The 25,002-nt window shown below is 40.6% G+C and overlaps 2 annotated features.

Moving 5' to 3' along the window:
* Positions 257-1,456: an enhancer, noted in NCBI's record as "BRD4-independent group 4 enhancer chr6:142992915-142994114 (GRCh37/hg19 assembly coordinates)". NCBI's record gives its function as "activates an origin of replication core promoter dependent on BRD2, P300/CBP, MED14 and CDK7 cofactors, and independent of BRD4, by STARR-seq in HCT116 cells {active_cell/tissue: HCT116}" and the evidence as "EXISTENCE:reporter gene assay evidence [ECO:0000049][PMID:35650434]".
* Positions 401-640: an enhancer, noted in NCBI's record as "active region_25177". NCBI's record gives its function as "activates an Ori minimal core promoter by ATAC-STARR-seq in GM12878 lymphoblastoid cells {active_cell/tissue: GM12878}" and the evidence as "EXISTENCE:reporter gene assay evidence [ECO:0000049][PMID:35858748]".

Genomic DNA, 25,002 nt, shown 5'->3' on the forward strand with positions numbered 1-25,002 from the left:
CTTAAATGGAAGTAATAATCATACTTATTTGAAAGGGTTGCTTGATGGATTAAATGAGTGAGTTCACACAAACCACCTAGGATAGTATCTGGTCCTGAGTAAGCTGTCAATACTTGTACCTTATTAATCTTCATCAATTCATCTATTGACCACAGCTTGACCTCTTACTCTATTTGGCACTGCTCCATTTCACATACCCCAGCCGTGGTGCTCAACCTGCACCATCTCAGTTTCAAGACTCTGCCCATATTCCTCTCTCAAGCTGAGTGGCAGAGTCTGTTAATTGTTCCTGGTATCTTTTCTCTGCCTCTTTCCCCTGAGTTTTAGCTGATCCCCAGTCACTCAGCCAAAGACTACCTTTCCCAGGCTTCCTTGCAGCTAAGTGTGGCCCTGAAACTAGGTTCTGGCCAATGGGAGCTGAGATAAGTTGAAGTGTACAATTTTCAGATCATGCTATTATAGAAGAAGAAGTATGCCCTCCATTCTGCTGGCAGAAGTGTGAGCATACCACAAGATGGAAGCCACGTGTGAAGGCAACAGAGCAAGAAGACAGGATGAGCCTGGGTCCCTTGAGACTTCCCAGGGCAGAGCCACCCACATTTAAACAAGCATGGCAGGTTAGCTTTACTTTCTCTTATGGATTATCCTTTTCTACTTGGCACCTTTGCTCTTTATGGTCTATTATAACCTATATCAGAGACAAGGATGTCTAAAAAGAGGATCAATTCCAGGTCTCTAAGAACTTATGGTTTTCAAAGATCTTAAAGTGAAAAAAATGACAAGTTGATTACTCCACATTCTACTGTAAATAAATTACAGAGGCTGGCTATTTCCCCCCTTCCTTGCTTGTCTTTGGGTTTGAGAAAAACTGATTTATCATCACTTACCTCTTTTTCTTGCTAATCGGTACAATTTTTAAATATTGAGACACCTTGGCTAAATCATAAATGTTTTGTTAACATGCATTCATTGTAAAAACTTGCCTTGACTCATCTATGATTGTTCCAAAGATTTATATGACCAATTCATGTCTGTTTCTCCACAGAATGATCTTCTCTCGCTTCTGAATATCTGTCAGCACACATCTGTGCCTGTGTGTACAAAAACTTCACCTCATGAGAGCCCCAGATTTGACAGAATCAAGTTTGCCTCATTTTTCAAACAGTGTTAACTCAGTTTAAAAATACTTTTCTCATTATGTTATTGCAAGGGTCTTTTATTCCATCTCATGCTTTCGTCTATTTTGGATCTAACATTTATTTAATTAGAAATCTATTATTGGGGAGGGGGCACAAATAAAATTTAGCTACCACTAACCACCCCCTGTCAAATGGTGGTACATTAAAGAAAAGAAGGAAGGTATTACTTTCTTCAGATAACATAAGACAAACATTTAAAATTCGGTCCACTTGGAAAATGCTTTCTCCACATCTTCTTTTATGTGGAGGGTGATTTCCTTTTTAGTGGGTTACACAATGCAAATGAGGCACAGTTCATTTATATCCAAGTCCAGGGAAATGAATTTATAGGCACTCCAGAGGAAAAGTTCCATGGAGATATTCAAGCTTTCTTACTTTCAGACTATCGGAAGCTCTGCAATATATGTCTTTCCCTAGATATCTTAAGGGCACCCAATAAAGCCAGTTTTGCCTGAGAAAAGCCATTTACACCCCTGCTTTCCATGGAAGACTAATTGGAATCGCTGTTACCATTTTAAATCTCTTCAACGGGTTAGGGTGTTGTTATCAGTATAACTCAATCAACCAACATATACTTAATGATTTCCAGTTAGAAGAAAGCTTCTTCCTTCTACAAAACATACAAGGAAAAACACTATTTCTGCCCTGAAGTAGTTGCCAGTCTAATTGCAAAAACTTGTGAGGGTCTCTGGCTTTTCAAGACCCATTAAAAAGACAAAGTCATGTCCTGCAGTGCCCCATAAATGGGTCTACACTCTCCTTTGGCAGTTCCAGTCCATCTTGTGTGTCATCGTATTGCCTAAGTTTGAATAAGCCTTTTAATCTTCAGTAAATTAAATTCTTAGCAGGGGCTTATAAATCCTGTTGTTCTCAATGCCTAACCCAGTGCCTGATCCACAGAATACATTCATGAATAAATAAAGGAGTGGATGAGTTGGAAGCAGAAAGTAAAACAGTGGTTACCAGAGATTGAGTAGGGGAGGCAGGAGGGGAGGATGGAGAAAATTTGGTCAACAAGTACATAGTTAAAACTAGATAGAAGAAATAAGTTCTGATGTTCCATTGCACAGTGGCGTGACCACAGTTAACAGTAAGGTATTGTATATTACCAAATAGCTAGAAGAGAGGCGTTTAAATGTCCTCACCACAAAGAAATGATAAGTGCATGAGGTGATGGTTATACCCGATTTGATCATTATACAATATATATGTATCAAACATCAAATTGTATCCCATAATATGTATAATTATAACATGTCAATTTTAAAAAAAAGCAAATGAGTAAATTTTTAATACAGTCAATGTAGGTTACAAAACTATTTAATTCATCTTCAGGTCTACACCCAGGACATTCTGGCACAATAATTTCTATTTATGCCCAAGAGGCACTAAAGATCCCTTGATTCCATTTATCTATTCAAATTTTCAACAAATATTTATTGAGAGTTCAGTATCTGTGCAATATTTTCTTAGGTGCTGGGAATACGATGGGAGTAAGCCAAGAATTTGCCCTAAGGAAGCTTATATTTTAGGGAGAAAATGACGAGGAAAGAATCTCTCTATAGCAAAAAAGCAGCCAGCCAGGGAAGGAATACTACACCACATCAGCTTGGGCTTACAGGTAAATAAATGGGACTTGTCTATTAAGATTTATTAAATTCAACAACAAAGTGGCTTTGATCTCACAAGTGAATAAACCAAAACGAATTACTCCTTGAAAAGTAGAAATGAAAAATTATTACATTTCTCCTTCCTAATTGGTACATCCATAAGGGAAACATTTAAAAAAAAAAAAAAAACTAAGATAAAAATCAAAAATGTGCCCCAGGAAGAACTATCTGAACTATATTTGCATGAAATTGTATTCTGTGCTTAAAGCCAATGTTTCCCTAATTTATGTGTTATCCCTCCTTAATTCCTCCTGTCTCCTTTAACAGTCTTTTACAAATGCATTGACTTCTTCACTAAAATTCTCATGAGGGCAAAAACACAGACAAGATGCCCAATTGTAAAAACTTACTTACGTCTTATATAATCTACTGAATAAAATACTGTTAATGAAAAACATCAAAGTGATGCATTTAACCCATGTGGAAGTTAACACCACTTAGCTTCCCTCTTCCTCCCCCGTAATAACAGAAAAATGAATGACTGAGGTAGGCATTAGTGATAGAGGAGGTGGACATATCTTTCTTTCTAAAATTTAAATTTCTAATTTTCTCTTTTTGAATAATAATCAGCCAGGTGCCTTTGATCACCAAGGGTAGGTAAAGACAGAAAGTTGAAATACATTCTTCATGAAGTAGCAAAATCATTTTTAAAGTAGGAACTTTGAACTTAAAATATTACTGTTTATTGTTCATCATACACTTTATGTCTCTTGCTAAATAATAAATTAGACTACATAGAGCTTCCTCCATATATTTATGTCTGCTGAAAATATTTGGCTAAATTCATTTTGGAAATACTTCACTTCCATGAAATATTGACATGGCAAAGACCATGTCAGAAACTTTGCCATTTTTCTGTGGAAAATAATACACGTGTCAGCCATACATTATTCCTTCCCACACTTTAATGCTTAATGATTAAACATTTGAAAAGTACTATTTCTAAATATTCTTCCAGACTACCTGTCCAACACAGAGTTAGCTATTCCAGTGCAAAGTCCTGGCTCCCAGACAACTAAGGGACCTTCGGAAAGGGGTAGAAAATGGCGGCTTCTCACCGGAGCCCTAAAACTGAGTAAACTCTAGGAAGCAGAAAAAGTGTAGAAGGGGAAGGAGAAGGAAAGGGAAGGAGTCTGGCATCTGTGATGGAGCTGGCCAGGTGTCTACAAACTCATTTCTCCTTCTGAGCTCAGGAATAAGCCACATTTGCCACCCATGCCTGGCAGTTAGCAGTGGCCATGAGACTGAGTTCTGGGCTGTGCGGAACGTGGGCACAAGTGGTGCTCACCACTTCAGGCCTCACCCGTAAAACTCCCTGCACAAACCTGCACATGCTCTGCCTCTCCCAGGGCCACCCAGCAGCAGATCAAGGGCAGCTCTCTCAGGAGGCGCTGGGGCATGGTGGAGCCGTTGGGCACAAATGTGATATCTAACTTGATTTCTTGCATTTCTCTCAGACTTCTGAATAACTGAGGGCAACAGAGCCCCACATTGGATGAGTGATGTCAGAAATACAACTCTGTGTGAAGCCGCTGAGGTGTGGGGTGATTTCTGACAGCAGTAGTCTTCTCTGGCTAATTCAGCGAATAAAGAAATCGAGCGATAAGGACAAGCTCCACTTCTTCATCTAGTCCTGTGAAGCAGTTGATCTTTTTCAATGTCTCAGTTATGACATCTCTCATGTGAAAAGCATCAACGCCAGGAGCTTCTCCATGTCCTCTGAGCAAGGGATGCATCCCATCCATTTACAGACTATAAAAACTCAGGGGGAGGGTTTCATTGCTCAATGAGGGGCTTGAATTTTCTTTGATCCCCTACTGATGGCGAATGATCTCTTTATTCCTTACACGGGGAGGGAGGATGAAACCTGGGGCAATTACATTAGATTCCGTTGACATGTGAAGCAATTTTGGCAAACCCAGCGAGCCTTTTGGTTGTGATTTATATCTAGTCAGGGAGAAATGACATCTGGGATGTCTGATTTATTCACTAGCAAAATGCTGGCTGAACCTAAAATAAGAAAATAGAGATTTATGTAACAGATTGCAGAGCCTTAATTTAAGAATGGTTAGGAAAGCAGCAGACACTCCAAGGCTCCGCTCTGCTTGGAATCACATGCTGCAAGTTAATATTACCTTTCTTAAAGTATTAAGTGACATGTTGAGAATTAGAGCATTATTTCTTCAAAATTCAACACCTGAATCTTTTCAAGATGACTGTTTCATATCCAAATAAGTCCTGGCATTCCTTTACATATTGACTGCCATAGAGAAGCAAACAGCTCTGTGAAATTTAGCAGACAGCTACAGTCTATTGTAGTTCTACCTGCAACCCCACAAGCAACTTCATACTAATCTCCATGCCAGGAGAACCTGGAAAGTACTGGGACTTGGTGAATAAGGAATTCTGTCCCCTCTGTTAAGAGACCACGTGGAGTCAGCGCCATAATTGTTTCCTCTTCAAAACCTAACAAGATTTTTCTGGAAAAGACTCAATGTTGAAAACACCAAAATGCAATTTCTTTCCGGTCTCAGTGCCCACAGTAGATGTGCTCCTGCATGTAGTGCTCACTAGACAAGCCACTGATTTATTCTTGCCTGGTGACACAGTCCTGTTTCCCGCTTCCTGCTTTACATTGGCCTTTGGAAAGCTCAGAGTCAAGAGGCAATCCCCACTGAGAATGCAGAGGACTCCAAGGCACAAATGTGATATCTAACTTGATTCCTTGCATTTCTCTCTTTTCTGACTTGGTTTCACACGTTCTCATCTATGCATCAGTTGATCAAGCAATTCATTTATCATCTCAGCTGGCTGAAATTCTGAATAAGGTGAGGTTATCCACAGAGAGAGAGAAAAATGATATAAAAGAGAAAAGAATGATGAAATAAGAGGGGAAGAAGAAAGGGAGAGAGAAAGAGAAAGAAGATAGGGAAAGGTGACTGGGCTGGGAAGGATGAATAGGACACAGGGAGGGATAGAGAGAAAGACACATTCCCCGTTTCCATCAGTGTTCAGCTGGTGAGAAAGCTGAGTGCTTATCAAAGGTTCACTAAACAGGTGGATTTATCTTTTCCTTTATAGAAAACTAAAGCTCTTGCTATTGTTCCTTTCTTCTTTTAGATTTCCCATATAATGAAGCGATTGCACTGAAGAATCTCTTCCACGATATGAAATTTTGCTAACTAATCACACCTTCCTTGATGTTACGATTTGGAAAGAGTCATTGTTGTAAAAATTGGGGATGAGATTTTTGTCCCTAGCAAGTGTAACCTTGGTAAGCCTGCTTAGGCTGTTTAGTTGCCCCCTTTCAATGTTACTAACTATTGGAGACAGACTATCCAGCATCTCAGGGAGCATGGTTTCAGCTTCTTTACACCCTTCACTCTGGGCAGCACAGCTCCTACGATGAATGGTGACATAAGTAAAGTACTTCCTGCCTGCCTCTCCTTTTTATGAACTTGGCCCTTTGTCAGGCATAGCATACCATCTTGCTGACCTTGAATAATTCCTTGGTGTGACCTTGGGCCTCTGTGTCTGCATCTAACACAACAAGACCCACCTGGGAAGAGGGCCTGATTTTTTTCTCCTACCAAAACTAAGTGCTTCTTTCTTCTCTTTGGAAAAATATTTAGTAAATGATTTCAACCTTATGTGCTAACAGGTTCCAATCCAAGTTCTTAAGGCAAGGACGGGAGCAAGATAGAGCTGCAGAATCTGTCAATATGGACTTTTATGGGAAGATGAAAAGCATGTCCTGAAAACTCAGGCAGGGATCATTGAAGGTGAGCTGTGTGCCTTCCTGGTTGCCCATCTCTCGAGGTGCTTGATCATGGACATTAGGTTGTAAATTTCTTCCAGCTATATCTATCTATTTAACAATGCATTTTCTTTAGCCAAAGTAATGCTTCTATAGTGCATATGAAATTTAGTCCACAAAAATTAGAGTGCAATAAATGTCACATTTATTTCTTTTCTTAATTTATTACAAGTTTCCTTTTCTTTTTTTTTCTTTTCTTTCTTTTTCTTTATGAAAAATCCAATCATGATCATTATTTGGGGTTTCATTCCCACCTTCCCAGTCAAGCAAAGTTCCTTGTGGTCCTAGGCACTTGGCAGTGTTAGGTGAGGGCACCTGGTCTTCTGTTCATATGTGCTCATCACTGGCGTGCTTGCTTCCCAAGCCCAAGAGGAGTTTCAGCTTCCATGCCAAGCAAGGACACTGAGCTCGGCATTTATGTTTAGTCCACTCTCCCAGCCCCTGAGCTATCCTCCTTCTGGGGCTCTGTATATAAGCGTATGATGGGGTAGGCTGTAACACTTTCTTGGGCCTCCGGTTTCCTTCTCTCCTTTTCAGCCCAGTCAGTTCTGTCTTTTGAACTCAGAGCACTACAATTCATCCACCCACTCCTCTCCCAGGACCTTCTAGTGTAACAAGACTGAGTTCTCACAGTGACCCCTAAGCATCTAAGAAGGATTGCCTTCTTTGCCTGGTTACTCCCACTTTCCTCCCTGTGCCACATGTGTGCTTCCAAAATGAGGCCCGACTACAAGAATCAAGTAACAGTCAACAACTCAATCAACTGTCCCTCCACCAACAACCAGAGACAGATGAAGTGACATCTGCAGCTGAGGAGCTGACATAGAAGAAAACATGGGGCAGCATGGGCTCGTGACTCCCCACCCCACTCCACTTGAAGGAGGAACCCCGGCCACGCATATCCAAGCAAGAGGAGAAGAGATCCTCTCTGGGAAAAGAACCCAGTTTGGTTGTGTAAAGAACAAAGCTTTTGACTGAGAAAAATCTGGGCTCAAATATGGGTTCTACCCTTTAGAACCCCTGAGATATTATGCAAATTAATCCCTACTCTGCTTCTTGGCAGAGTCCTTTCTGTAAAATGGTAGGTATTCCTTCCTTGCAAAGTCCCCATGAGGAGCCTAGGAGTTCCTGCTCTCCTTGACACCTCTCCCAAATGCAATAAATTACTCGCTAAGATACTTGGGGGATGGACAGGAAATGGCAGAAAGGCCAGGGGAGACATCCTAGGAGTCCAAAGATTTTTCTGCTACAGCCCAGTATCTTATTATGCTCCACATGCCAGATCAAGCAAGTGAGAGGAGACAGACATGCTAGGAGCGCAGGTCCACTATTCTCTACCCACTCTCCTCTCCTGGTGTCCCAGAAGGTGATCCTGTCAAATACAGTGTCATGGGTCAACCTCAAAGCCTAGGAGTCACTCAGGCCTCAGTAGAATCTCAACACCATCACAGAGGGTGAGTGAGCCTACTGATGTGTGATACAGGGACCATCCTACTTATGACATAGAATTATTGTAAGAAAAAATGAGATGACACAGAAAGGTCTCACCCAGTGACAATACTAGTGTCACTCTTCTTTTTCTTATTAACATCTTCTGTCCACTCGCTAAGAAACCTTTCAATAAATAACATCTGTTATGAGATTTTTCCTTTTCCTTCTTGTTTAGTTGGTTTTATTTGTAAACTTTTCAAAACTTTTTTTAGAGACAGGGTCTCATTCTATTGCCCAGGCTGGAATGCAGTGGTGTGACTTTGGCTCATTGCAGCCTCAACCTCCTGGGCTCAAGCAATCCTCCCAGCTCAGCCTCCTGAGTAGCTGGGAGTAAAAGCACACACCACCATGCCAGGCTAATTTTTGTATTTTTTTTTTTTTTTTGTAGAGAGGCAGTCTCACTGTGTTGCACAGGAAACAAGTTTTTTAGCCTCTTTCTGAGTATGTTCAACAGTGTGTGAATTCCATTAATCCACTAACTTGGAATCTAAATAATCTCCAGCCATTCCAAAGCAGCTCCAAAATATAAGAATCCACTAACAACAGATCTGCTTCCATGGAGCTAAGAGTGAACATCCCGACACACACTGCAAAGCAAACTGTGTGCAGGGTATATGCTTATAAACAGTCTCACCTTCACCCAGGATACCATCTTTTATTATTATTATTACTCTCTGTTTTCCTCTTGAATGCTGACAAGTTGCACTAGGTATTTCCTTCTCTCTTAGATACGAAAATAAAGCCTCTTCCAAACTTCTGGCTGTTGAGCTGCTATGCCAGGGTGTCAGAGCCAGCCCCTGAGTCACTCAGCCGAAAGCCAAGCTGAGGGGAGGTGGTTTTCATTGCAGGAACTTGGGTTAGCTTCCTGGAGACAAAACACAGCGACATCAATAAATAGGGTAGAAAGGAGGCAGTGATAAAAGGTGAATTTAAACCTCAGTTTCAATATTAGCTAAAAAGCATACAATAGTTAAACATAGCTATACAATAGAATGCATTTCTATACAGTGGAAGAAAAAGGTCAAAGTCAAAGGCAGAACAGGCTTTGATTCTTCCATACACGCAGTCTACATGGACAGAAATAGCATTTTCTTAAATCCACAGCCTTTTTATGGCAATAGCCCAGCCTGTTTCTAATGGGTATTTTCAAGTTCCTTTTTTTCATTCATTCTGTAAATATTTATAAGTGCCTCCTATGTACCAGATGCTGGGGATACTACAGAGAAGAAGACACTGAAGTTCCCTGACTTCATGGAGTGTCTATTTTACCGGAAAAGATAGATTATAAACAATGCACACCAAGGGATGATGAACAAACTGTGACCCTGGGAAAGTGTCTTAATCATCCTATGCCACCTATTTCTCATCTGCTTAAGGGGGCTGCTAATAGTCCCGACATGACTTGGTGTGTAGGCTTGGCGTGCGGATGAATGAGTGTTATGTGTTTGAGGCTAAGCACAGTGCCTGGCTCTGGGTCAGCTTTGCCCATGTGCAGGCTGTTATAGCCCCATTGGAATGGAAGCTCAGAGAGTAGGGACCTCTTGTCTGTTTTGTCCATTGTCATCCCAGTGCTTAGAACCATGCCTGAAATAAAATAAACACGTGCTCAATCAATAGTTGTTGAATGACTGAAATTTTAAAGAGTGATAGAAGAGAGGACAGGGAGAGCAGGAAGCGGGGATAGCAGAGCCAGGATAACCTCTCTGGGGAGAGATAGGGGAAGAATATTTCAGAAAGAAGGAATGAGTACAAATGCACTGAGGCAGGAAAAGCTTGCTGTGTTCCAGGGTCTCCCGAACACTCCAGGGTGAGCACATGCGTCTCCGTGGTTGCGGGATCCTCTGGTTCCACCACTGTCCATCTCCAGCCTTTTCCTTCCCTCCTTACTACTTAGTTTATTTCCCCCACACTGCAGCATACGAATTCTCTCAGTTGAAATATATCTTACTATTTCCTTTAAGGAATAATAGTAGAACATAGAGGGAGACAGTAGGAAGTGAAAGAACACAGATCTCTCAAAAATTTCAGCTCTCCGCAGACTCAGATGAACCTGGTTGGTTGCAGTGTAGTCATGCTGGAGTTTCCAGACATCTCTCTGTATCTTTTATCCCTGTGTTTCATGCCCCTTCCTGAGGACGTTTAACAACTTGGGATTCCCAAGACTTGCCGTTAAGTCTTTAAGTGGGGAGGTCGCATCGCATTTCACAAACTCATTCCTCAGTAAGGGATGTTCATCCTATGTGTTTCCATCCCTCTAGGCTCAAAATTGTTCTAAAAGAATTGCTGAGGTGTCTTCAGAAATTCTCATATTTTCTCAAAGGAGAAAGTGGTATTTATTTTCTTATAATAAATAAAGCAGACTTTCCTCTGTTTTATGATGAGGCAATATGTAATCTAATAGGATGTGCCTGTGACTGGAAAGACCGGAGTGAAGAAGAACCCTTGACTCCTCCTGAGAGCTCCTTAAGTGTTCAGGCCACAGATGTACCCATCCAGGCAGTGAGAGGCACCAGCCATCACACAGTTCCCAAAACTGTTCAATTCCCCCAACACTCTTGCTGTCAGCCTTTGTAAATTAGTTGCTTCCTAGCCATGCTGAGGAAAGAAGAGGAGTCAGTGAAGAGATTAAATGTGTCATTCTCTCTGGTAGCCCATGGAAAAGGAAAGAGCAAGAGAAACTTTAAGTGGGATCTCTGCTGGCTTCTTTGTCATGGTTTTGCAATATCCAGGATATGGGCTGGGCATGGTGGTGCAAGCCTGTAATCCAGCACTTTGGGAGGCTGAGGCAGGTGGATTTCTTGAGCCCAGGAGTTCAAGACCAGCCTGGGCAACATGTCAAAACCCCATCTCTACAAAAAAAAAAATACAAAAATTAGCCTCTCTTGTATGGTAGTGTGCCTCTCTTGTCCCAGCTACTTGGAAGACTGAGTGGGAGGATCGCTTGAGCCCCGGAAGTAACTGAGGCTGCAGTGAGCTATGATCGCCCCACTGCACTCCAACCTGGGCAACAGAGTAAGACCCTCTCTCTCTCTCTCTCTCTCTCTGTCTCTCTCTGTCTCTCTCTCTCTCTCTCTCTCTCTCTCTCTATATATATATATATATATATATATATATATATACACACACATATACCTCCAGGATATGTTCATCAAATTGAGAAATGAAATTCCCTTGGGAGTGGATAAAAATGTTTCCATTATATAATATTTTCTTACTGAAAACCAGTAGAGATCCCTTCTTTCCTTTTTCCAAGACTAAGTGGGTGTACTTGTATAAATGCCCAACTGGGAGCTGAGGCTTGGGGTTCTAGTCTTGGGGATGACATTTTGTTCCTTGAGAAGTCCCCATGGCCTCGGCATCCTTGCCTATAAAATAAAAGGCCCTGGGCTTGGTGTCTGTTCAGCTCTCGCACATTCCATGGGTCTATTTAACAAGCATCAACTTGCAGGTGTTCATGTGGCACACCCAAAAGGGAATTTGTCCTGTTCTGGCTCCATTTAGTGAAGCCTGTTCTGTACTGTTTCTGCCAATGTCAATTGGACCTACCTAGTTCACACATCTTTCTGTAGCAAGTCCAGGTAGGATTATGTTTTATTAGATTTTTAAAGGAGAAAAAAATCTATGAATGCACTGTGGATCTTTGTGTGTAAGCAGAATGTTAATAAGCTGTGTATCTTATGTTCTACGGCATCAGTTTATTAACGCTATGTTTACACATGAAGATCCAGAGTTGCATCAACTAGCAACAATCACTGCACGCATATAACTATAGGGTGGTTTGCTGTAGTACCTCCAATCTTTCCAACATGTTAATATAAACACTTAGACAGATACCTGGAAGGCAAATATTTCTGTCATGGTTCTGTTCTCATCTTCGTTTTATAGGCCTCGTTCAGAACAGGGCAGGAATCCTCCTGTATTCCATACCAGTGTGTATGTGACCTTCTTTATAGACAGATTGGGAGAATTCTTAGTGGCTTCTATGATTTCACAACATTCACACATTAAAGTTCAGAGTCTTCATCAGTTGTCTTTATATAACTCTAGCTATTTCTATTCCTACTTGTGAATGCACAGACTTATGCAAATGCAAGACGATGGAAAGCATGGCTCGCCTCCAGGGCCCACTCTACAACGTGGGATTGCTGCCACTTGCCTGCTACAAAAAATACCTTCTTTTCTGTGCCCGCAGCCACGGAAGGGCTTCTATGGACCTTCCTGCCTTTTGGCATGAAAAGAACGTCTGAATTGAATACTGTCTAAAAGAATGCTTCCCAACTATGTGGAAGGTATTACCCCAAGGTGACTTCCTGAGTCACACCAGCCAATGGCCCCAGAAAGACAGCAGCTATGAATCAAGCCATGAACTTTCTGGTCACAGGGAGTTTCTTGTTTAACTATTTTACCCCCACTTACTCCAAATTATACTCTCTTGGTTGTCAGGAATCTGTCTTCTTTAGCTTAAGCACACAGTGATTCGTCACTTATTGGGAACTACAGAAGAGGAAACTCAGTAAAACCTCCTGTTAAAAGTTGACCCAGAATTATGTAAGTGGGTGAAATGAATAGCAGAAACAGATGACTTTAGTGTCTCTCATCTGCTCATTACCTGCAGGGCAGATGCATGTATTTGTGACTATTGCAGCATAAGCTCCATTTTTCATTTACCACATCCTTTGACCCCCTTCATTGCATTAGAGATCCTTAAGTTCCCTTTCTTGGAAAGCTATATATAATCTCAACATTCCTCAATTTCCATCCTGTGCTTCTCATGTGATCAACAAAAATATATCAATTCTTGTAAAACTGTGAAAGCTACTTCTTGTTTCTATGAAAACTGGGATTTGTTCTCAGCCTCTCCTTGCAATGTATCCCCATGCCCACTCCCTTCCAAATGTGTGACTTCAGTTCATTATTCTTATCATCTGTTACTTTCACTGTAGATATTTATTCAATTTCAATCTTAGAACTCATCTGTTTGTGGTGCATGTAGATCTACTTAACCTTACCCAAGAGTTTGTCACTAAAAATGAAATTGTCTTTGAATCATTTACTCCGTAAATCTCCAGGAAACATAGATGATGGCCTCCATCTCCTATGACAGATAATATTCTTGTCCTGGATTACCCTACTTGACTTGCACAAAAAAAACCTACCCAAGCACTCACCATTCCTTTATGCTCAGCACAGTCCCCGCATGGAGGCTTCCATGAGGACCCTTGCCTTTATGGGTCACCTCTCCACTGCAATCCCAGAGCATCGATGGCACAGCACTCAGACAGATCCTGCATCATACTGACCAGTGCTGCTCTGTGTGAGGTACTCCTGTCTTGCCAATTACATTAGTATTTTCTTGATGTCTGTGTAATGTTACTAGATCTTGGTGTCTTCCCTGGACCTCTACCTCCTCCCCTATAAAGAATAAAATGAACTCTCTTCTGAGATCCCCCATCTATTTTCCCTCTAGAATGATGACTTTTCCCTGTAGAAAAATGAATGTAATTTTTTTTCTGACATTCCTTGTGTATTAGTCTGTTCTCATGCAGTTAATAAAGACACACCCAAGACTAGGTAATTTATAAGGAAAGAGGTTTAATTGTCTTATAGTTCCACATGTCTGGGGAGGCCTCACAATCACGGCAGAAGGTGAGTGAGAAGCAAAGTCACATCTTACATGGTGGCAGGTAAGAGGGCGTGTTCAGGGAAACTTCCCTTTATAAAACCATCAGATCTTGTGAGACTTATTCACTATCACAAGAACAACACAGGAAAAACTCAGCCCCATGACTTGATTACCTCCCACCAGGTCCCTCCCACAACACATGAGGATTATTACACTTCAAGGTGACATTTGGGTCGGGACACAGAGTCAAACCATATCACCTGGCTGTACTACTATTAAATAGATTGTAAACTCATAGAAAGTGAGTCAATGCTTCATTCACCTTTCTATCATCTATGCTCAGTGCAGAACTTTTAGGAAGTGTTTGTTCCATATGGAAGGGGTAAATGGGTAATAACCAGTTGTTGAGATTTTTAAATCCCTTGTAGTGTTTTAACATTCAACTTATTAAATGTTAGAGAATCAATAAACACTGCACATCAACAGTTCAGTCTTATCTTTTTGACTGGCCAAAGTTATTTTCCCTGCCCAGATTTTCCCAAATGAGTAAAGCATTCAATTATGTGCAAGAGATACTCGGTCATTGCTAAGATGCAAATAAAATGTAGCACTCTGCACTGAGAAATGTGACCTGAAAATAGTTGCTAGTTTATACATAATATGCCTAGAGAGGTGCAGAAATGTTCAGTGACTTCTATGTGCTTGATGGCTCCAAGAGAGACATCAAAGTATCATTATAAAAAAAAAAAACGGCTGCTAAATGTGAAAAGCTAACAGTCAGCCATGGCTCCTGCTGAGGGTCTGCCTCATGGCTGGTATCAGGGAGAGATATTTTCTTTGTGTCATCAAAGTTGACAGTGAATATTAAAGTGGTCTTTCACCTTGCCTGAGACCTCTGACAAAATACCTCTCTATCTCTTCTTTCTATGCTCACAGCAAAAGAGCTAACCTAAAAATCACATCAGTGGGTTCAACCCACTGTTATTTCAAAGTGCAACCCACATGTGAGAAAGGGGCCTGTGGCAAGCCGTGCAAGGTATTAAAACCGTGACTCACTGCCAGACAGAAAAAAAGTATTCTCTCCACAGAAATTCAGTACCATGTTATTGCTAAAATTAAAAAAAAATTAAACCCTCAAAACAAGCCTGTGATGTATTTGTATAAATGGTGGCATTAGAACATAAATCTGCAAAAAGGTCTAATTTTTCAGTAAATTCACAGAAGAACATAAGATCATATCAAAAAGCAGAAGCAAAACGGAAGAGATGCATCTGAAAAATGCTTTCTTTAACTGAATGAAGTCATAGAGTTATGAGAAGGGAAGGACAGTCTGGCTTTCTTGGCAAGGCTGTATGTAAACCAAGTTTGGAAGTAATTTTAAAAAGATTATCATTCCACAAAAAATATATCAGCTGCATCATTTTCAACAGCAGTTACTCTGCACCGTGGACAGAGATCCCTCCTTGTGTCCCTCTGGCTCATCACAGGGATTGAGAGTTGGTAATAGGAACCACAGTCCCTGTGTTGCACATGGTACAAAGACTCTCACTTCACATTTTATAGCAAACCAACCAGTCTTCCTGAGAGTTTACAATCCTGTATCCAAAACATATGCATGATCAAATGAGGCAACAATTCAGGAATAAAATCAATCTTACAATTAGAAAATATTGCTTTATCTTTTATTTCATGCAGGTAGTGGCTGAAGACTGTTGAGAGCAAGGGAAGATCAATAAGTGTCTCCACAATGTCAAAAGAGGTTGAAGAATGAAAGATTCACTTAGTCTCTCAGTTGTTTATGTTGGTGGTGAAAACAAATATTTGACTCTTTGTGAGCTGAATTGGTCCCTTTGAAAATTGCAAAGTGTAACTTGGAGGAATGATGAGCACACAATTACTTAAAATGGCAAAAAGGAGTGTAAACATATGGGTAAGAATAATGGAGAACTCTGGAGTGGAGGCTGCAGAATGTGGTGGAAAACGCAGTTTCACATGCTTACCAACCAGCTGAGAGCAATTTCTAAGAGCACCACCCAAAGAACCATGAGGCTCTAGCGGCAGATGTTTGCTTCAGGAGCCAGAGCTCATGATTGGCAGCTCACTTCAGGAGGCTGTGTGAAATGCATCCACATTTGGTCCAGAGCAAGCCTGTGGAGCTTTAAGCATATAACTGATTTAAGCAGGAAACCCTAATGCAAAAAGTTAAGTAAATTTAATATTAACTGAAAGTTCCTTAAAGAAAAACACCATCAGATGGATCTGGAAAAATTTGGAGGAAGATCTGTGGTGTCACAAAGATCTGTCCTGGGCCTTGTTGTGTTCACCATTTCTCTGTGATTCATATGATAATATAGATGCTATTTCTATCATTTACAGAAAATTTTTTAAAAAACATTGAATTGAGGTCTGAAATTATCTCAAAGGCTGGGACAATGGGCCGAATCCAACACCAGTAAATCTCACTCCTCCTTCAGGACCTAACTGAAATCATATTTCTTCAGCAAGTTCTTCCCCAATCATTAGACCAGGCAAGGTCTCTCATGTGCTTCTGGAGTATCTTGTCCTGTCCCTTTCTTTGTGTGCAAATCATAAATTTGTTGAGGGCAGGAGAACAAGTCTATCTCATTCACCATTGAACTCCTAGTGCTCATAGCAGTTCCTGGCACATAACAAGTGTTTCAAACAAATTCTTTGAGTTAAAAAAGAATATACAAAATGTCATGCATTTTGGCTAAAGGCATTAGTGTGTGATTAGAAGATGTAGCAGGGGGGTGGTGGAGATTGTGATTGCTAAAGAGTAGCAGATACAACAGCAAGACATAGAAACCTCACTATATCAACAATAAGTCAAGACCTCAAACAGTTAGTACAGCACAATAAATTCAAAATTCCACCAAAAAAGAAGGAGATAGTACACTTCCAGTCATCCTTGAAATTGTGTATGCAGTTCTGGGGAAAATGACAAACTGAAATTAATCCAGAGGCAAGCTAACATGATAGTTGGGCCTGTGAACCATGAAAGAGGCCTAAACCTCTGAGGCTAATTAAAACCAAAAAAAAAATTTTTAGATCTTACCTTTAAGTCTTTAATCCATTTTGAACTGATCTTTGGGTATGGTGTAAGATAAGGATTCAATTTCATTCTATTGCACTTGAATATCCAGTTTTCCCAAAACCATTTGTTAAAGAGACGACCCTCTCCTACTGTGTATTCTTGATACCCTTGGTGAAGATCAGTTGATCATAAACAAGTGACTTTATTTATGGTCTCTCTATTCAATTCCAATGGTTTAGATGTATGTCTTTATGTCAGTATCATATTGTTTTAATTACTTTAGCTTTATAATATATTTTGAAATCAGAAATGTGATGTCTCCAAATTCGTTCTTCTTTCTCGAGACTGCTTTTGCTGTTCAGGGTCTTTTGAAACTTCTGTAAAAAATAGGAGGAAAGCTTCTTGACATTGGTCATGGCAATGATTTCTTGGATATGACACTTAAAGCATGGGCAACAAAAGCAAAAGTAGACTGGTACGACTACATCAAACATAAATGAGTCTGCACTTCAAAGGAAATAATCAGCAAAACAATTGTTTCTTTTGCAACCTACAAAATTAAGGAAAATATTCACTAATTATATATCTGATAAGGGGTTAATCTCCAAAATATATATAAGTAACTCCTACAACTCAATAGCAAAAAATCAAATAATCCAATTTTTTTAATTGGGCAAAGGACTTGAATGGACATTTCTCAAAAGAAGACATACAAATAGCCAACAGGTATATGAAAAAAGGCTCAACATCACTAATCACTAAGGGAAATGCAAATCAAAACCACAGCAAAATAGCACTTCACATATGTTAGATTGGCTATTACCATAAAAACAAAAGACAACAAGTTTTGGTGAGGATGTGGAGAAAAGGGAACCCTTGCACATAGGTGATGGAATGTAAGTAAGTTGGTACAGTCATGATGTAAAACACTGTGGAGGTTCTAAAAAATTTTTTTGAATAAAACTACCATATGATCCAGCAATCCCACTTCTGAGTTTATATCCAAAAAAAAAATTGAAATCAGGATCTCAAAGAGATAGTGCACAACCATGTTCACTATAGCATTATTCACAATGACCAAGACATGGAAACAACCTACATGTCCATCAGCAGATAAATGGATAAAAAATGTGGTCTATACACTCAATGGCATATTACTCGGCCATGTGGAGATCCTTCCACATGAAACAGCATAGATGAACCTGGAGGACATTATGCTAAGTGAAATAAGCCAGTTACAGAAGGAAAAAATCCTGCATGATTTTTCTTACATGAGGTAGCTAAAATAGTCAAACTTAGGGAAGCAAAGACTTGGACAGTGGTGCCAGGGACTGGGTAGAGGCAGAAATTGGGAGCTGTTGTTCAATGGGTATGAAGTTTCAATGATGCAAGATGCATGAGTTTTAGAGATCTGCTTTACAACACTATGCCTATAGTTAACTGCACTGTGCACTTAAAAATTTGTTAAAGAGTCTGGGTGCGGTGGCTCAGGCCTGTAATCCCAGCACTTCGGGAGGCCCAGGCGGGTGGATCACCTGAGGTCAGGAGTTAGAGACCTGCCTGGCCAACATAGTGAAACCCCATCTCTACTACAAATACAAAAAATTAGCCAAGCGTGGTGGCAGGTGCCTGTAATCCCAGCTACTTGGGAGGCTGAGGCAGGAGAATTGCTTGAACTGGGAGGCAGAGGTCGCAGTGAGCCGAGACTGCGCCACCGCACTCCAGCCTGGGTGACAGAGTGAGACTGCATCTCAAAAAAAAAAAAATTGTTAAAGAGAGTATATCACATTAAATATTCCTACAAAAATAAATAAATAAATGAATATTCTTTTTAAAAAATGTTTATTTTATTTTAAGTTCCAGATACATGTGCAGGACCTGCAGGTTTGTTACATAGGTAAACATGTGCCATGGTGGTTTGCTTCACCTATCAACCCAGCACCTACGTATGAAGCCCTGCATGCATTAGCTATTTATCCTGGTGCTCTCCCTCACCTCCCTTGCCACCAACAGGCCCCAGTGTGTGTTGTTCCCCTCCCTGTGCCCATGCGTTGTCATTGTTCAGCTCCCACATATAAGTGAGAACATGCAGCATTTGTTTGGTTTTCTGTTCTTGTGTTAGTTTGCTGAGGATAATGGATTCCAGCTCCATCCATGTCCCTGCAAAAAACATGACCTTGTTTCTTCCTATGGCTGCATAATAGTCCATGGTGTGTATGTACAATAAATATATATTCTTGCCTGATACAAACACACAGGTACACAAAGGTGCACAAGGAAACTTTAGGAGGTGAATATGTTTCTTGCCTTGATTTTAGTGATGGTTTCACAGGTGTATGCCTATATTAAAATTAATCAAACTGTACATTAAATATGCCAATTTACTTCAATAAGGGAGTTAAAAAATTAAAAATGAGACTGGTGGGAAGACCAGAAAGCAGTCTTCACATATTTAAAGGGTTGTCCTGCAAAAGAGGGATCAGACTTTTTATTGCATCTGGCTCTGGAGGACAGAGAAAGGGGCAAGGCATATAGATTATAAAGAGGTAAGGTTTAGCTTGATAAAAGGAAAAATCCTAATAATTATAGCTATTTAAAAACGAAATATGCTTATTGAACTTTTAAAGGTGATATTATGGACAAATACTTAATGAAAAAGGATAAAAGATGGTTCTAAAACATGAGTAGTACAATTCTTTTAGAATAAAGGTGTGCATACCCATGCACGCATGTGCACGCATGCACATGCACACACACACACACACATACGCACACCTGGGCACATACATCAGAATGTTCATGGTGTTTATCTCTGAGTGATAGTATTACAGATATTTTTAATTTTTATTTTGTACATTTTGGTTTTGTTTTCTAAAATTATTACAGTGAATGCAAATTATTTTTCTTATGACAGGAAAACACTGTACAGCAAAAATGGTTGTGGGACCTAGGGAGTTCTATTTTGTTGGAGGTGTTTGAGCAGAACCTGTAGTTGCTGTTGATAACTCCCAGGATGTTGAAAAGGAGACTGTTATAGACAGGAAGATGGCTATTACCTCTTTTAACCTCTATGGTGCTTCAGATTCTGAGAATCTATTGCACAAAATAATAATTATAACTAATAATTATAACCACTATAACTATTAACATATAACCTGTAGTTATTAATAGTTATGATTAATAAAGTCATAGAATCTCAGATTTGTCAGGGAACTCAGAAGTCAACTTTCCCAGCCAATGTAAGACAGTATGAAAAATCCTTGGCCACACATGCGGATAAAGGATTGCCCATGGCTGGGAATGTATATCCTTTCCTGCTGCTCACTGGTCTACACTAGCAGGTAAGAAACACATTTGTCTCTAAACACCCAGCCCAGTGGTACATGAAATGATCTTCATCTATTTGTTTCTCAAGCATGAAATGATAGCCTACACACAATCTTTTCATATTGTAGTCACTCTGTGATCTTTCAAAATGAAAATAAAGAGGTCTTGTCACTAGGTGTACAATCTATTTTCCTTGACTTGAAATCTCATCTTTTATTTCTTCAAAGCACATAAGGACTTTATCTTTAATTCTATCTTGTATTCTGTTATCAAATCCATTTGTTGTTGTTCTATGTCTGCTCAGGATGTCTGAACATTTTTACATAGAGTAACTTTAAGTGTGAACCTAAGTCGAATTCAAAACAAGACATCTAACTCTAAGAAAAGCCTTAGGTAAAACTTTGAATATATTTATCTTGAATGCTACAAGATGTCCAAATTATCCCTAGACATCCTCTCTTCACTTTCTTCAGACACCTAACCCTTCCTCCCTCTGCCACCTCAAATTCAAAATTCACACTTAGGAGAAAGATTTGTAATTTTTTCAAATCAAAGCTTATAGTAGAAGCCAATCAACTAATTCTGTAATTGTCTCTTAAACACCCTAAACTATGCAGGACCACTTCATTGCAAAAACAAAATAAACTCTTGAAATCACAAGGTAATATATAGCAATTAACAATTCAACATTACAAACAGTAAGTGCTATTGGTAAATGCTACTTAAGTTCAGGAAATAAAAGGTAATTATCTTTGAGCTGACAAATTTACCGCACTACCAATAAATGAAGGAATTACTGTATAGTGTGCTAGCAGGGATCCTGGGAGATCTGGTGGAGATAGAAGTTCTAGCTGAACTTCAGAACCCTCCAATACAAACAGGCTTATCTGAGGGGACAGGTCAGTCCTGCACACTATTGCAAGTGTTATCAAAGTGTGGTCCACGGACCAGCATCCTCTACACCACTTGGGAGCTTGTTAAAGGTACAGAATCGAGGGCCCCGTCCAGAACTAGTAAATAAAAAATCTAGATTTTTAACAAGCTCCCAGGATGATTATTCATATGCACATTGAAGTTTGAGAAGCTCTGGTCTACACAGTGGCGATTCTGCTCAGTTTCTTCGCATTTTAGTCCTGGGCTTTCAAAGCTACTTGCTTTTTTAAATCAACTATTAATTTGTAGCCTACAATTGTCACAACTGCAAAATTAACTCATTACTTAACTTTATTCTATTTCTCATGCATTTCCCCCTCAACGTCCCTTTTTCTCCAACGGTGGTCCCTTGAGAATGACAGATTTTTCACCACCCAGCAACCAAGGCACTACCCCACATCCTACACGAGGGGGCGCATGAGGACTAAGATTCGGGATCTTCTAGGCCATCTTCTCCACAGTGATTTTTATCAGCGACGGCCCCCTTTCTCCAGGATTGGTTTCCCAATGACATCACTTGGAAGCATGAAGAGTTGCTAGAATCCTCTCCTCCACTCACAAGCCAGGCATTTCCTGAACCCTTGCTGCGTTCGCCGCTTTCCACCCCATACCATTTCCCTAAGAGACAAGCATTCAGATGATCTACCCCCAGGGGTCCCAGGGAAGGAGGGAGAATCATTGCTTTAAATACAACGGCAGATCAGAGGGCCCTTGGTCAATATCCCTGCTCTCATTTCTCCTGTGTTTCATCTTCCATCAGGTCATACAGCCTTGAAAGTCTTTGACACATCACCCCTCCCTTCAGATCCCCACCTCTCCAATATTTCAGCAGAGCTTGGTCTTTTATAATCTAATTTTAAAAAACTCTTGCTCCATTCTGTTCTTTTACTGCAAACAGAGAGTAGCTGAGTGAGTGGCGTGAGGATGAAGAGTCCAGAGCTGAGGCTTGTGGATTTCCTGGGAAGTTACTCACTCAACCTTTGGCCTGGGGAATAATTAGAAAAATGAATGTTTCATTCCCTTGAGAAGGCTTTTTCTTTGTCCACTGGAACCCAATACTGGCGCTGTGGCTGTGTTTTAGAGAGTGTCTAGTGGCGCTAACTTGCTAAATCCATGAGGTTTATCACTGTTATGCACAGTGCCCACCAAGTGTTGGCAACAAGCAACTCGTAAATGCATTTTGGCAATTACTATGAAATTTTCAGTGTCATATGGGTCTTCCACCTCCTAAAAGCTTTTGTCCTGATGAAAGCTTTTATTTTAACTGTAGTTTTTCCCTAATAGGGCTCTATTTCAAACTTTAACAGTTGTAATTATTTGTATCAACGTGCAATCCCACACTTAAACAAATTGGAGCCCACTCCAGAACAAAATTAAAATGGCTTCAAAGAATGACAGAAAAACATTTCTTTTGGCAAGGAATAACAGGAAGGCAGAAGGAATACAGGAGAGATCCAGTGGAGAGGATAAAGCAATGGGAGGCCTTTCCACATGTGTAGCCTCTTAAAAAAATTGCTACCATTCCTTATGTTGCCTATGCAGGATACAACCCTATCTCTTAGTAAAAATGGTCTCCCCACCCCCACAATTCTTGTGGCTATTACCAAACAGTGCTTCTTATAAAAGAAAAAGAATATGACAAAGCAACCACAAGGAAGGTTAAAAAAAAAAGATAAAACCCGGGGCTAGAATACACCCAGTTGATGCTCAATAATGATTGACTTAAATGTTTGTGTGGCACAAGGTACAGAGTGGATTTCTTTCACATCAATCTGGAAATTCATAGCTTCTTCAGGCTTCTTGTCATACATATCGTGTGAAATATTTTATGACACGGCTCTGTGGATCCTGAAATGCTCGGTCCCGTTCTGTCTGAAAGTAGCACTTCTCTCTTCCTGTTGGGCCCCTCACCAAGAGCCCTTAGCGTCTGAGGCATCTCCCTGGTTATACTTTCATCAGATGGTGAAGCGGCCGTGCATTCATTGCACTTTCCCCCCAACACAAGCACTTTCATTGTTATCATTTACTGATATCAAATAGAGAAGTAAGTCAGGTGAATCATCATATACTGTGTATTTATCACAAAATCGAGCCTACCCTTTATGCCTGGGAGAACACTGGCATGACCTAGTTCACTTCCCTAGGGCTGGATACCCTTCAAGTCTTCCTCCGTGAAGGAGAATCTTTCTCCTTGTATGAGCCAAGAACACATTTTAGTGCAGCATTTCCTTTGTAGTTCAGATCTATTTTAATTGGGTAAATCTTTCATTACATAAATACAAATATTAGCAGGGGCCAGATACTGTATCAGGCTCACCAAAGCCAAGTGGCTGGAGGTGCTGTGCCCCACCAATAGGCTTTTTTTTTTCCACTGTGATAATTTCTGTTCCTTAACATAGGACATCAGATAGAAACCATTCCATTTGCAGACAAGAAAATACATCTACTGTCCAATCTACATGTATTTGTATGGCCGGGAGGAGAGGGTAGACCATTCCAGGCCTGGGAAGCCGTCCAGGGAAACAGGAGGAAGAGAGCCAGGGAAGTGTGTTTAGAGTAGAGAGAGCATGATTAGACTCAAGCAAAGGAGCACATCACAGGAGGAAAGAATAATTATTTTGGACGAGTGGGCAGGATAGTTTGGGGAGTGCCCTGAGAGCTAGTAAGGGGTCATGGTCATGACATCATAGGCAGTTGGGAGCCCTGCCAGACTTAGAGTGGTGGCATCTGAAAGAGACTAGGGTTAGGCATGCAGAGTGGATTGGGGCTACAGAAATCCATGGCAAAACTTATTCATGTCTTTTTAAAGTCTTTTTGGTTACAAGCATCAAAGCCAGCAAAGTTTGGCTAATCAATAAACAAGAACTTACTGTAAAGATGCAAAGTCATCCTCAGAAGTCAATAGCAGATGTAGCCCTGCCTCTTTTGACTCGGTTCATTCTTTGGCATTGCCTTTTGGTTTTCTCTACACACTGACTTGTTCTGATTCTCCCTGCGTATGGCCACCATGGCTCCAAAATTCATGTCTGAGCCAAACACAGACGCTGATCTCTAGTTATCCATTTCTTTAAGTCCAATTCCAAATTCCCAAGAGAAAGATATTGATTGTCCAGCTTGGGTCAGTGAGAACTCTGATGCAATCTATGGCCAAAGTGGAAGAGTCATGGTGGATGCTCGGTTACTTGGCCTTCCCTTTTGTGGAGAGGGGGATGATTCCTTGAGAAATGGTGTCATAGACTGGGAAGGAACTCCAAAAGATGTTTACAACCACCTGCCAGAAGTCTGCTGGTGTATTTTAATACTGCCATCCTGCAAGCTCAGTGTCAGTAAGAACAGAAGAAAGGGATAAATAGAGGTAATGTTTGTCATATTTCTAGAAACCGGACAGGTTTAGGACACATTGGAGTGCCAGCCATGGGAATAACATCAGGATAGAATGGTCTGGGCAAAGCTGAATGGGAAGAGGCATTTCCACAAAACTGCCCAAGGCAGTGGCACTACTAGGTTCAGAAGAATTCAGAGACCCAGGGAGGGCTGCTATTTAGAATAGCTCAGAACATCACAAGTGTGCTGGCTTTCCACTTTAATGTGAAGCTGGGTGTGGAGTTTTTAAAGCTCTATGCAAGACCTCACTGTTCCCAAAACATGGAAGGAAGTGTTTGACCTCAGAACATTCTCATATTATTAATCAACACACCAAATATTTACCCAGGACCTAGTCTGTGCCCAGTGCTGTTCGATACTGTAGTGCTCGGTCAGTGCTGTAGAGACAGAAGGGCCATCCCTCTGCTGTTGTAGAAAGTCCCTTCAGGGGTTCTGGAGGGAGTTGGGTGCCAGGAAGTTTCCCAGACTCCTCTCAGCCTCCCTTCCCAAACTCAAAGAAACGT

The sequence above is a fragment of the Homo sapiens genome, chromosome 6 (genome assembly GCF_000001405.40).
Source record: "Homo sapiens chromosome 6, GRCh38.p14 Primary Assembly".
NCBI lineage: Eukaryota > Metazoa > Chordata > Mammalia > Primates > Hominidae > Homo > Homo sapiens.